Source organism: Homo sapiens, chromosome 2, assembly GCF_000001405.40.
Source record: "Homo sapiens chromosome 2, GRCh38.p14 Primary Assembly".
Classification (NCBI taxonomy): Eukaryota; Metazoa; Chordata; class Mammalia; order Primates; family Hominidae; genus Homo; species Homo sapiens.
This window is the reverse complement of record NC_000002.12, coordinates 11,120,720-11,132,812: the sequence shown is the minus strand read 5'-3', so window position 1 is coordinate 11,132,812 and position 12,093 is coordinate 11,120,720. Positions and strand designations below refer to the sequence as shown.

General features: G+C 52.8%; 1 long non-coding RNA gene across 1 annotated transcript in view, besides 3 other annotated features; it reads left to right on the top strand.

The window, feature by feature from the left end:
* Nucleotides 1-636: 636 nt before the first annotated feature.
* FLJ33534 (Putative uncharacterized protein) overlaps nt 637-12,093 on the top strand; it is a 32,326-nt gene continuing 20,869 nt past the window's right edge. Inside the window, exons 1-6 of the long non-coding RNA NR_040080.1 lie at nt 637-798; nt 3,715-3,829; nt 3,927-4,092; nt 8,028-8,230; nt 9,524-9,661; nt 11,851-12,050. This is a non-coding gene — a long non-coding RNA (Putative uncharacterized protein FLJ33534). The remainder of the gene's footprint in view (nt 799-3,714; nt 3,830-3,926; nt 4,093-8,027; nt 8,231-9,523; nt 9,662-11,850; nt 12,051-12,093) is intronic.
* Nucleotides 2,030-2,530: an enhancer, noted in NCBI's record as "H3K4me1 hESC enhancer chr2:11270409-11270909 (GRCh37/hg19 assembly coordinates)". NCBI's record gives its function as "activates a minimal SCP1, AML or CMV promoter by ChIP-STARR-seq in naive H9 embryonic stem cells {active_cell/tissue: H9 hESC(naive)}" and the evidence as "EXISTENCE:reporter gene assay evidence [ECO:0000049][PMID:30033119]".
* Nucleotides 2,531-3,031: an enhancer, noted in NCBI's record as "H3K4me1 hESC enhancer chr2:11269908-11270408 (GRCh37/hg19 assembly coordinates)". NCBI's record gives its function as "activates a minimal SCP1, AML or CMV promoter by ChIP-STARR-seq in naive H9 embryonic stem cells {active_cell/tissue: H9 hESC(naive)}" and the evidence as "EXISTENCE:reporter gene assay evidence [ECO:0000049][PMID:30033119]".
* Nucleotides 2,672-2,981: a silencer, noted in NCBI's record as "silent region_11169". NCBI's record gives its function as "represses an Ori minimal core promoter by ATAC-STARR-seq in GM12878 lymphoblastoid cells {active_cell/tissue: GM12878}" and the evidence as "EXISTENCE:reporter gene assay evidence [ECO:0000049][PMID:35858748]".

Sequence of the window (12,093 nt, the reverse complement as noted above, 5' to 3'; positions counted from 1 at the left end):
GGCGATGTTAGTCCTGTGCTGCCCCCTCGTGGATGCTGCGAGGCTCGCAAGAAATGGTGGCCCTGAGGGCGCTTTGGGAATTGTGGATCAGGCATCAGTGTGAAGCTTCCTGCTTGTTTGGGAACGATGGCGGAAGTCATGAGCTTATGTTGGGCGAGGAAAATGAGTGCAATGCACTAGGAACATCCACTCTGTCTGCAAACCCAGAGCGTTCACACAGCACTCTGCTTTATCTGAGACCTCCCAGCCATGCCTTTCCAACGCCATTCTACAGATGAGGAAACTGAGGCCCTTACCGGCAAGATTAAGTGACCGCCCACGGTCACACAGTCAGTCACCAGCTGAAAGGAACAGTGAGAATCTGAGGGCTTATGGTCCGAGCCCTCAGCCCTGTTTCTGCTCTAACTGGGTACAACCAGGCTCCCTCCGTGGCAGCCTCTCCTGGTCTGGCTCAGCTGAGCTCCATGGACGCCCGCTGCTCTCATCACTTCTGCCTCCTGCACTCTCTGCTTCCGGTTCTCTGAGTTTTGTGCTGTTCCGGTAGGTGCTGGCAGATTCACAGTTCCTTCCACGCAGCTTCTCTGTGGGTCCATTCAGCTGGCGCGCTGCTTCCTATCTTTGTAAGGGAAGAGCTAAGTGCAGACAAAGCCCTGACGAATAGAGGCCTGCGCAGAGTGCCCGGGGTGCAGGGCAGCAGGGCAGCCAGTGAACCACTGAGCTCGCACTGTAGCCAGTCCTGTGTGCCCCTGCTGGATTCTGCTTCTATGAGGGAGGCAGCAAGGAGTTGGGACTTCACAGGTGAAAGGACTTGCCAGGTAGAAAAACTGGGGTGACCACAAAAGCTTGGATGCAAGAGAGAGCCTGGTATTTTGGGAGATGTGGGGGAGGAGACAAGGACGGGGGTGGCAGGGCACATGGGGGCAGGCCCCGGGGTATTTTCCACGGTATCCTGCACCCAGTGGGGAGATACCGATGGGCTGTGAGCCCCAAGGGAGCTGCAGGGAACAGAACCATCAGGACAGGGGCAAAAAACAGGTGAGGTCACCATTGCCATGGCGTGGTGTGGGTGAGCAGTGGCAACGAAGCCCCTACTGGGCTCGGGCGGAGGGCTGGCGTGGAGAAGACAGGGCTGAGAGCCAGGCCAGAAAGAGCTGCCAGCTTCGTCTTCCCACACTTGCATGAGGACGGAGCTGAGGGATGGGACCTTTTGGAAAAACATTAGTCTAAAATCAGAGCTGCAGGCCTGGGACTCTGTCTCTCCTCTGTTCCTCCCCTTGGAGCTGGGATGACACAGGGTGGCATCTAGTGACTTAAATTTTCCTGGTAAAGATGAGCACAGCAGGAGTGCGGCGGGGTGGGCCTCTGTGAGCTAGGACCCTGGGTCAGGCTTTTCTGAGTGCTGTTTTCGTGGAGGTGTCTGTGCTCCCTGCACTGCGACGACAGGTTCCTGCCATGCCCAAGGAGCAGCGGTTCTGGCTTCCCTGAACCCCCAGAAGGCATCCCGTGAGTGTCTTTAGAGAGGACGGTGTGTCCTGGGGGGTCCTTGCTGTGTGTCCTGGGAGGCTTTGTCAGGCTGACCGCAGGCTGTGGCCCTGAGCAGCTGGGAACAGCCATGCAGTTTGCTCAGATACCTCCAGCCCTGGCCACAGGCTCCAGACACAGGGACCAGGGCAAAAAAGGCCAGCAAGGGCATCTGTGACAAACCATCACAACTGATTGAGTTCCTGATGTATGTAGAGGCTGAATAGTTCAACGGATTTTTTTTTTTTTTTTTTTGAGACGGAGTCTCACTCTGTTGCTGGGGCTGGAGTGCAGTGGTATGATCTTGGCTCACTGCAACCTCTGCCTCCCAGGTTCAAGCGATTCTCCTGCCTCAGCTTCCCGAGTAGCTGGGAATACAGGTGTGCACCGCCACACCCAGCTAATTTCTTTTGTATTTTTAGTAGAGACAGGGTTTCACCATGTTGGCCAGGCTGATCTCGAACTCCTGACCTCAGTTGATCCACCTGCCTTAGCTTCCTAAAGCGCTGGGATCACAGGTGTGAGCCACCGCGCCCGGCTGGAGGTTGGTTTTTAAAAATTAAAATGTAATTTAAAAACCATTTCAGACCGAGAGTTGATAGAGGGCTGGACTGATGTGTGACAAAGCAAATACAATACAACGTAACTGCAGAATCTAGGTGGTGGGCGTATGGGTGGGCATATGTTGGGTGTCTGCCCTACCATTCTTTCAACTTTTCTGTATGTCCGAAAAATTTCAAAATAAAATGTTGAGGGGGAAAAAAAAACTCACCTGCCAGTCCAGGTCAGTCACTGCCAGTCTCTTTTTACATGTCCTTCTGCCTGGAAAAACATCCAAATTCACTCTGGGTGAGCCTCACTGCGCCCCAGCCTGGGAGGACCAACCCCGCCCTGCCCCTCCCGCCAGCTCTGAGGCTGGCCTCACCTGGGGATCAGGACACCGGGTTCCAGTCCCTGCTCTGCCAGTGACTTGCTCTGTGCCCTTGAGCGAGGGCTCAGGGCACACCCACATTTTGTGGTCTAACTTTATCTGAGACTTTCCAGGGGAGCACAAGAATCCCTGCGTTTGGGAGGTTGCTGGAGTTGTCTTTTATTGGGTTTTCCTCACCCCAAAAGGCGTAGCAAGTTTAGGGCCTTCAGCTGGGCGAGGCAGAACGTTCCAGCCCAGGCAGCCACAGGGTGGCCCCACCAGCCCGGGAGCAAGCACACCTGCGATGCACAGAGCGAGGCGAGGCTCCGCCCTGCGAGCCAGCCCCGCCCACTTCCTGTAGGCCCCCGCCCCTTCCCGGGTCGGCGGACGAGGGAGGGTCGCGAGCTCCGCCCCGTTCCGCCGGCGCAGGGCTCAGGGGCCCCGGAGCTTGGGAGCGCGAGGGAAGGAGCTGAAGGGGCGGGTCCGTGGGAGGCGAAGGCAGGGGAAATGTGTGTCTGCATTTTTTAATTTGCAGGGGATATTTTCCGTCCCCTTTGTCCCGTAAGCCTCTGCTTTTTGGATGAAAACGTTGGCTTTACCACCCTCTCTCTCCTTCCCGCACGCGCACACCTTGAAGGCATCCTACCAGGCGGTGACCGCAGAGGAAGCACCCAGAGCCACAGTTCTTGCCTTGTCAGCTGCTCCCACCACGTCCCCAGAAAGCTCCGGGTTCGTCAGAACAGCAACATTAAAGGAAGGCCCAATTTATCTATGGAAAAATCCGCTCCGGCCTTCCTCTTGTAGCCCCAACCGTTTTCACTTCTAAGTAGCCGCTTTGGGTCTTACTTGTTGGTTGTACAGTTGCTGTCAATGTGCCTACCATTTTGTACCCAGCTTAAAATTGTTTATTTATTTATTTATTTATTTAGAGGCAGAGTCTCGTTCTATCACCCAGGCTGGAGTGCAGCGGGGCGATCTCTGTTCATTACAACCTCCGCCTCCCGGGTTCAAGCGATTCTCCTGTCTCAGCCTCCTGAGTAGCTGGGATTATAGAGGTGTGCCACCGTGCTCGACTAATATTTGTATTTTTAATAGAGACTGGGTTTCGCCATGTTGGCCAGGCTTGTCCTGAACTCCTGACTCAAGTGATCTGCCTGCCTTGGCCTCCCAAAGTGCTGGGATTACAGGCGTGAGCCACCATGCCTGGCCAAATTTTTTTTTTTAATGTATCAGCAATATTTTTTCATGTTTCTCTTTATATATATATATATTTTTTGACACAGGGTCTTACTTTGTCGCCCAGGCTGGAGTACAGTGGCATGATCGTAGCTCATTGCAGCCTCCACCTCCCTGGGCTCAGGAGATCCATCTCAGCCTCCTGAGTAGCTGGGACCACAGGTGCTTTATAATCTTTACACATCTCATTGTAGCCAGTTTCTTAGAGTTGATGCATGATAATGTGTTTAACCAATTTTTTCTCTTCTTGGGCATTTAGGTTTTGTTCAGGTTTAGCACAAGCTGTGATGAATATCTTCAAGCCTCTGCTTCCTGCTGTGGAATTGTTGCCAAAGGACACATTCCCAGATGGGATTACTGAGTCAGAGGAAGTGGACATTGAGTGGCTCTCAACAGACAGGCTGTGTTGCTCTCACAGTGCCCAGGTACCACCAGCAATGTATACACATACAGGAAGCGCCGGCTTCCCTGTTGTCTTGTTGCTGTGGCGTGTTGGGGTCTCTAAGACCACCCTGGGTTTGTTGATTGGCTAGGAGAACTCGCAGAACTCAGCATACAGTGATACTCGAGGCTATGATGTATTACGACAACTGGAAATGAAGCAAATTCAGCAAAGGAAAAAGGCACATGGGTCAAGTCCAGAGGAAATGGAGTGTGAGGGTCCAAGACCCTCTCACATGCTGGACGCGCCCACTTCCCCCAGAAGTGTGTTGGGACAACACGTGTGGAATGTCATTTGTCAGGGACACTCACTAGAGATTTGGCACCGAGGGTTTTACTGCAGGCTAGTCACAAAGGCCCCCTCTGCCTAGCATGTACCAAAATTCTGGACTCCCAGTACGAAGACATAAACCACAGTGTTTACACAGTTTAGGGGCAGTGAGCCATTCATATCAGGGAAGGGCGGGAACCCTCCCCAAATCCAATTTCCCAGATACGAACCAAGGGCCAACCTTGCAAGCAGTCCTTGCTAAAGATAACATTGCTATAATTTGTATTTCTTTCATTTTTCTTTTGAGAGTAAATCATTTCGATATAAAATAATGAGATGGGACCTGGCCATCCGAAGGTTCATTCACTCTCAAGGCTGGAGGTTGATGCCAGCTGTCGGCTGTGACCTCAGGTGGGTCTGGCGGCCAGCTGCGGCCCCTCCATGTGGCTTGGGCTTCTCTCCAGTGTGAAGTGGCTGTGTTTCAAGGATGAGGAACTGACAAAGAGGGAACCAGGTGGAAGCAGTGTCACCTTTTCTATCCTAACCACAGAAGCCACCCTGTGCCACTTCTACCACATTGTTTATTAGAAACAAGTATGAATACTGGCCCATATTCAAAGGGAGGAGAATTAAACTCCACTTTTGATGGGAGGAGGATCAAATAATTTATAGAGGTTATTTAAAACCATCACAAACATATTAGATTTGCCATGTTTAGGCATTTATTCTGCAAAAAAACATACAAATGTGCAAAGTTACTTGAGGCTATTTTCTGCAGTGTTATTTGTGTTAGTTAAAAAAAAAAAGGAAACAATCTAAATGTCCATCAAGGGTCAGGTGCAGTGGCTCACGCCTGTGATCCCAGCACTTTGGGAGGCCGAGGCGGGTGGATTATCTGAGGTCAGGAGTTCGAGACCAACCTGGCCAACATGGTGAAACCCCATCTCTATTAAAAGTACAAAAAATTAGCCGGGCATGGTGGTGCATGCCTGTAGTCCCAGCTACTCGGGAGGCTGAGGCAGGAGAATTGCTTGAACTCTGGAGGTGGAGGTTACAGTGAGCTGAGATCGTGCCACTGCACTCCAGCCTGGGCAAAAGAGCAAGACTCCGTCTCAAAAAAAAAAAAAAAAAATTCCATCAATAGAAGACTGGTTATGTTACTTGTGGTATCTTTACTATACTTATTACTTGTAAAGATGTCATCTATATAATGTTAAGCAAAACAAACATGATAAAACAACAATAACAAAACGTGTTGCAAAGTGGTATATGCAGTCTGATTCTGGTGTTGTTATTATAATATGAGTTGAATGCATGAGAAAAGTCTGAACGGACGTGCTTCCTCCCGTGTCTACTGCATATCTTTAGGGAGTAGACCGGAATGCAGTGGCATGATCTTGGCTCCCTGCAGCCTCCAACTCCAGGGTTCAGCAATCCTCCCACCTCAGCCTCCCAAGTAGCTGGGACTACAGGCATGCGCCACCATGCCTGGGTAGTTTTTGTGTTTTCTTGTAGAGACAGGGTCTCACTGTGTTGCCCAGGCTGATCTCAAACTCTTGGGCTCAAGCAATCTGCCCACCTTGACTTCCCAGAGTGCTAGGATTATAGGTGTGAGCCACTGCACCTGGTCAATCATGTTAACGCCTAAGATATGATTGTCAGGGGTAGTGCAGAGAGCACAGAATTGAGAATCCAGAGAACTGGGTTCTTGTCTAGGCTCTGACCCTACCTTCCTGGGCTTTTTTTTTTTTTTTGAGACAGGCTCTCCCTCTATCGTCCAGGCTGGAGTGCAGTGGCACCATCACGACTGACTGCAGCCTCCTGCGCCCCGTGATCTTCCCACCTCAGTGCCCTGAGTAACTGGGACCACAGGTGTGTACCACCGCACCCAGCTAATTTTGTTTATTCTTCTGTAGCAATGGACTCTCGCTATGTTACCCAGGTTGGTCTCAAACTCCTGGGCTCAAGCGATCCACCCTGCTTGGCCACCCAAAGTACTGGGATTACAGGCGTGAGCCACCATGCCCGGCCTGGGCCCATTGGTAAGGATTATTCAACAGTAAAGATAGTAAATCTATGACAGTCTCTCTTGGATTATGTATTAGTTTGCCAGAGCTGCCCTAACACAATGCCATGAACTGGGTGGCTAAACAAGAGAAATGGAGCGTGTCACAGTGCTGGAGGTCAGAGGTCTGAGAAGAGGGGTCGGTGGGGTTCATTCCTTCTGAGACAGTGAGGGAGAATCTGTGCCAGGCCCCTTACCCCACTTTTGGGACCTTCCTGGCAATCTTCCATGTTCCTTGGTGTGCAGAAGCATCACCCTAATCTCTGCCTTCATCTTCACATGGTGTTGTTTCTTTGTGTGTCTCTGTCTAAATTTCTCCTGTTTTATGAGGGCACATTCATACTGGATCTCAGCCCACCCTACTCCAGTATGACCTCATCCGAACTCATCACATCGGCAATGACCCTGGTTCCAAATAAGGTCACATTCTGGGGTGCTGGGGATTAGCACTTCAATGCAAATTTTGAGAAGCACAATTCAACCAATCACAGATTATACAGATTTGAATTCCTTCTGGGATCTATTAAGGGATAAAACCGACCTTGTATGGCCAGGCACAGTGGCTCGCACCTGTAATTCCTGCCAGCCCTTTGGGAGGCTGAGGTGGGTAGATCACCTGAGGTCGGGAGTTTGAGACCAGCCTGGCCAACATGGCAAAACCACATCTCTACTAAAAATACAAAAATTAGCTGGGTGTGGGTAGGCACGAGCCTGTGATCCCATCTACTTGGGAGGCTGAGGCAGGAGAATCACTTGAAACCTCGAGGTGGAGGTTGAAGTGAGCTGAGATCATGCCAGTGCACTCCAGCCTGAGTGACAGAGCGAGACTCCATCTTAAAAAAAAGAACCAACCTTGTATTCAGCCCCCACTGTACGTCAGGCATTATTTCCAGTCCTCACCTCACCTCATTCGGTGAACAGTATTAGCTCCATTTTATGGATGAGAAAACAAAGTCTTCAAGAGGCTGAGTGTCTTGTCCAGGGACCCAGGCAATAAGTGGCAGGCCTTGCATGGAATTCACTCATACAACTTCTAAAGTCTGTGCTTTATTGGAACTGCAGAGCTGTGGTTTGACTAATACTTGACTACGCCTAAGGATTTTTCCCCAGGAACTTCCTTGATAATTTTCATTAAATAGACCTTATATTTTCAATCCACTCGAGCCTCTGGGAGACAAGTGAGAAATTCCCTGATGGATAATGGCATTAAAAACAGCAACTGTGTACACTGCTTGAAAAGTGTGCTTTCTTGCATTTCTCTTGTGAAGTGTTGTGACGGCCTTGTGAAGTGGAGCCGATCACATGTGGATTTAGGGGCAGAAACTGGAAGACCACAACCCACCTAGACCGCACAGGCAAGAAATGGACCCCCAGGACCAGAATCCCTTCTGACTATAGTTTCTGGCCTCTTCTTCAGTTGTTATTTGCAGAGAAAAAGCATCTCACATAAACAGTTTTACTTCGGTTATCAAAAAGATACTCAATGATCTATATTTCAAAGACTCTAGATTCCTGGGAGTTGGGGGAATTTTAAGCATTGGGAACATATTCTGGAGCATGTCTTTATGTTCTTTATTCTGTAGCTTCCCATGGGTGGCCAGCCGAATGCATTATGGGAGAAAGCAGGTCTCGTGGATAATATTTCTGAAGATCGGAGCAGGTTGCCAGGTCCACGTCGGCCATGACTGCAGCACGCTCCGGAGGCAGCAGGGGGCACCCTGGAGCTTCGCATCCTCCTTCAGGCCCGCGGCATCTCCCCTGGCTCCACCATCCCCAGGTGTCTCAGGTTGGACGCACGGTAGTTCGCTATGGCCATTTCTGATTAAAGACAGAACAAATGGATTGTCCGGATACGGTGTCTGTGAAAGGAACCCAGCTGTGAGCCTCGGCAGGCAGGTGCGACATTCTAAATCCACAGGGAGGGCCCAGAAGGGACGCAAGAGGTCACCTGCCGTGCAGGGTGCGGGGGGTCTTGGAGGTGGGCAGCAGCTGTTCACCCGTGAGCGACGAGGAGCATCAGCGCTTGAACAGCGGAAGCAGCATTTACAGGTGAACACCAGCCCGAGAGGGCCGGGGGGCCCAAAGCTATGGTGTCCAGAGCCTCCCAGCTCCCACTCTGGCCTCCAGTGGCCATGGAATTGCTAACTATGAGGGCGCAAGCTTCTCCCAGCAAGTCAAGGGGATGCTATGTGCTGCGATAACGGGTCCGGCCGCCTTGCCTTTGGCCTTCCAAGCCCCTCTCTGAGCCCCAGGACGTACCCACACCTGCCGGCCCATGTAGGGTGGTCCCAGCCTGCGTCAGTCAGGCCACACTCCGGAGCCAGGCTTGGTGCAAACTCCCAGCTGAGCTCACCCGCTGGCTGCGGTCTGTGATACTTCCCTGGTGGTCTCTGACGGGGCTGTATGGCCTCCCTCTGGAACCCAGGCTGAACACTCGAGGAGCTGGAGGCAGTCGGGCAGAATCAGCCTCTGGTTGCCAGCATGGGGTGTCAGGCAGGGGCAATCCAGCGGGGAGCCTGGGGAGAGAGGGCGGGGGTGAGGCACTGATCTCAGGCTGTGGGGAGGAATTCACACCTGCATGGCTGAGGCTGGTGCTGCCCCCCTGATCACCAGGAGATCAGCCTCTCCTTCCCCAGCCTCAATTTGCACCCCTGGCCTGTGCGGTTGGCACTGTCTCCCGTGGGGAGCCCCTGCCTGGCTCAGGGGAGACCCTGGTGCAGAGCCCACCTTTGGAGCTGCCCTGTCCTGCTGAGGCAGGAGCCACCCCTGGCCTGGCCCTGGCCCTGGCCCTGGCCCTCCGGTGAGGCTGCAGTAGCCAGGAGAAGGCCAGTCAGAAAGGCCATCTGCCTGGCGGGTGTTTCTAGCCAGCAGGCCAGGGTAAGGAAGTTGTCAGGCGTCCTGCGGGGATGGCCAGGGTTGCAGACAGGGGTGGCAGCCAGCTCCATGTAGCTCTGGGACCCAGGTGTGTGGCAGGGCCAGGAGCATGTTCTGCTGCTCTTCCAGGCCCGACTCCAGCTCATTTCCTTGAGAGACCCTTTCACCTATTCCAACCTGCATTTGCCTGTGTCGTCCTTTGCAGCAGCAGCCTTGTGGCTGTGCCTCTTCTGTGCCCTCCGAGTTCTAGGCTGAGGGTGAGGATTGGATGAGTTGATCCACGCAAGGCTCCTGGCACAGTGCCTGGCATATGGTTAAATAGACTTGAAGTTATAATTACCAGGTATGTGACCCTGTCCTCAATATGAGTGCCACAGTGGGCTGGAGAGTGGCAGCCCTGCTGGGCAGGATCGTAGGGTCTCAGTGACAGGCCTTCCTCGTATCCCTGACAGGGAGAGAGGCTCACTGAATAGTAAGTTGGCTGTGTCTTTTCTGTCTGAGCCTCTCTGGGAAGCTTCCAAGGGGATAAAGGCTTGAGCTGGAACTTGGAGGAGTTTGCAGGTGGCTGGATTGGGGTGGGGGTGGGGAGGAGGGTGCCAGCATGCCAGGTGGGGGAACAGCATGGGCGAAGGTATGGAGATGGGGGAGGGATCTGGACAGGGTGCCTGTGGCTGGAGCACAGGGCATGTGTGGGCGGGAAGCAGGTGAAGAGAGGAAGAGCTCTGGGGGACTTCTGGAGGGGACCCACCGTAGGAGCAGGCCAATGGCTGGCAGGGCTAAGTGGTGCAGGTGCCCCTGATGGATTTGATCGAGGTGGGCACACATGCTCATGTCAGAGGCATGTAAACCAGAGCAACTCCATCTTGCGTAGGAGCTGGGTAAAATGAGGCTGAGACCTACCGGGCTGCATTCCTGGACAGTTAAGGCATTCTAAGTCATGGGACAAGACGACACAGGTCATAACGACCTTGCTGATGAAACAGGTTGCAGTAAAGAAGCTGGTCAAAACCCACAAAAACCAAGACAGCCATGAGAGTGACCTCCGGTCGTCCTCGCTGCTACACTCCCACCAGGGCCATGACAGTTTACAAATGCCACAGCAATGTCAGGAAGTTAGCCTATATGGTCTAAAAAGGGCAGGCATGAATAATCCACCCCTTGTTTAGCAGATCATCAAGAAATAACCATAAAAATGTGCAGCCAGCAGCCCTCGGGGCTGCTCTGCCTATGGAGTAGCCATTCTTTATTCCTTTACTTTCTTAATAAACTTGCTTTCACTTTACAGACTCACCCTGAATTCTTTCTGGGGTGAGATCCAAGAACCCTCTCTTGGGTTGTGGATCGGGACCCCTTTCCTGTAACATATATAGCTCTGTACACCTTGAGGGTCTTAGAGGGAGGGTGGAGAGAGCCCAGGGCTGAGGGCGCCCCTTCTGTCAGGGGTGAGGCTGATGCCTGGAGCCTCAGTCTCTGCCCCACCCACCAAGGCGGAAGGCTGTCCCCTAAAGAGGAGCGATAACCCAGGGTCCTAAAGGAGCAGCGGGGCTCCTTAGTGTGGTGGGAGGTGGAGGTTGGTTGGGGTCAGGGTGGGAAGTGGGTGCCTGGCCAGGTGAGCGTCCCCAGATCTGTGGGACTGGCTTCTGCAGACCTCTGTCCCCGCTCCTGCTTCATCACCCTGACCTGCCCCTGTGCTGAGAGAGGACAGATGAGAGGGTGGGGCCAGAGGCTCTGCAAACTGTGAAGTGCTGTGCTCACCCCCCTTGAGGTTGTTCATTCTCAGTTCAGCTGTGCTTCTTCCCGGGGAGAAAGTCTTCGGAAGCTCAGGGAAAAGGCAGATCAGGAATGCGGAAGTGCCTGGGGAGGGAGCCACTCAGAGGATTACTGTCCACATGGTGAAAGCAACCCACACAGTGGTCCCCCGAGAGCAATCAAGGCCGGGGGAAGGGGTGCTACAGGCCCCTGAGACTGAGGAAGGGGAGGAGATATGGTGAAAGGGGACAGGAAGGGACTTTTGGGGGTTGCAGGCATCTCATTTGTTTGTTAAGCCATTTCCCCATCACACCAGCCCATAAGGTAGGTCATATTTCCATTATACCTGTTGGAAAAGGGAGGCTCAGAGAAGGTGAGTAACCTGCCAGGGTCACACAGCAGAGCTGGCATTTGAACTCAGGGCTCTGACTCATGGGTCCTGGGAAATCCCTCCATGGCAACAGAAAAGATCACAGAGAGGCTGGGGCCAAAGACAGATTCTGCCTAGCTCCCAGGTGGCCTGTGGCCAGCTCTGCAATGATTTCTTCTAAGGCTGTTAGTCTTTAAAGAATGGCAAAGCCCAGGAGTGAGTTCGTCTGCTACTGCGAAGTGAGTTGTTTCTGAGACGCACTTCTGGGAGGTAGTGACATTGCTGTCACAGAAGGGACTGAGCAGAAACTGCTGCTACAAATACGTCTTGTTTGAGAGTGAGCTGGGGCTGGGTGAGCTCGGAGGCCCTTCAGCTCTGGGGTTCCTTCATTCCAAGTCTCTTTCCTTTCACAGGCCTGTTTCCTCCTCATGAGAGGTGGAGCGGTGGTTCCCAAACACGATGTGGGAAGTGTGTTAAAATGCAGATCCTGGGCTCGACCCTGAAGCTCTTCCGGCATCCACCTTCCCAGGTGACCAGACTCTGGGGAAGGCATCACCTCAAGACTCCTGCACCCTTCCTCCAGAGTCCTGGGATTCAGCTAAATCCTGGGAAGGTAGGACGGGCCTGCGCCTCCCGCCTTCCTTTGCTGTAGGGTT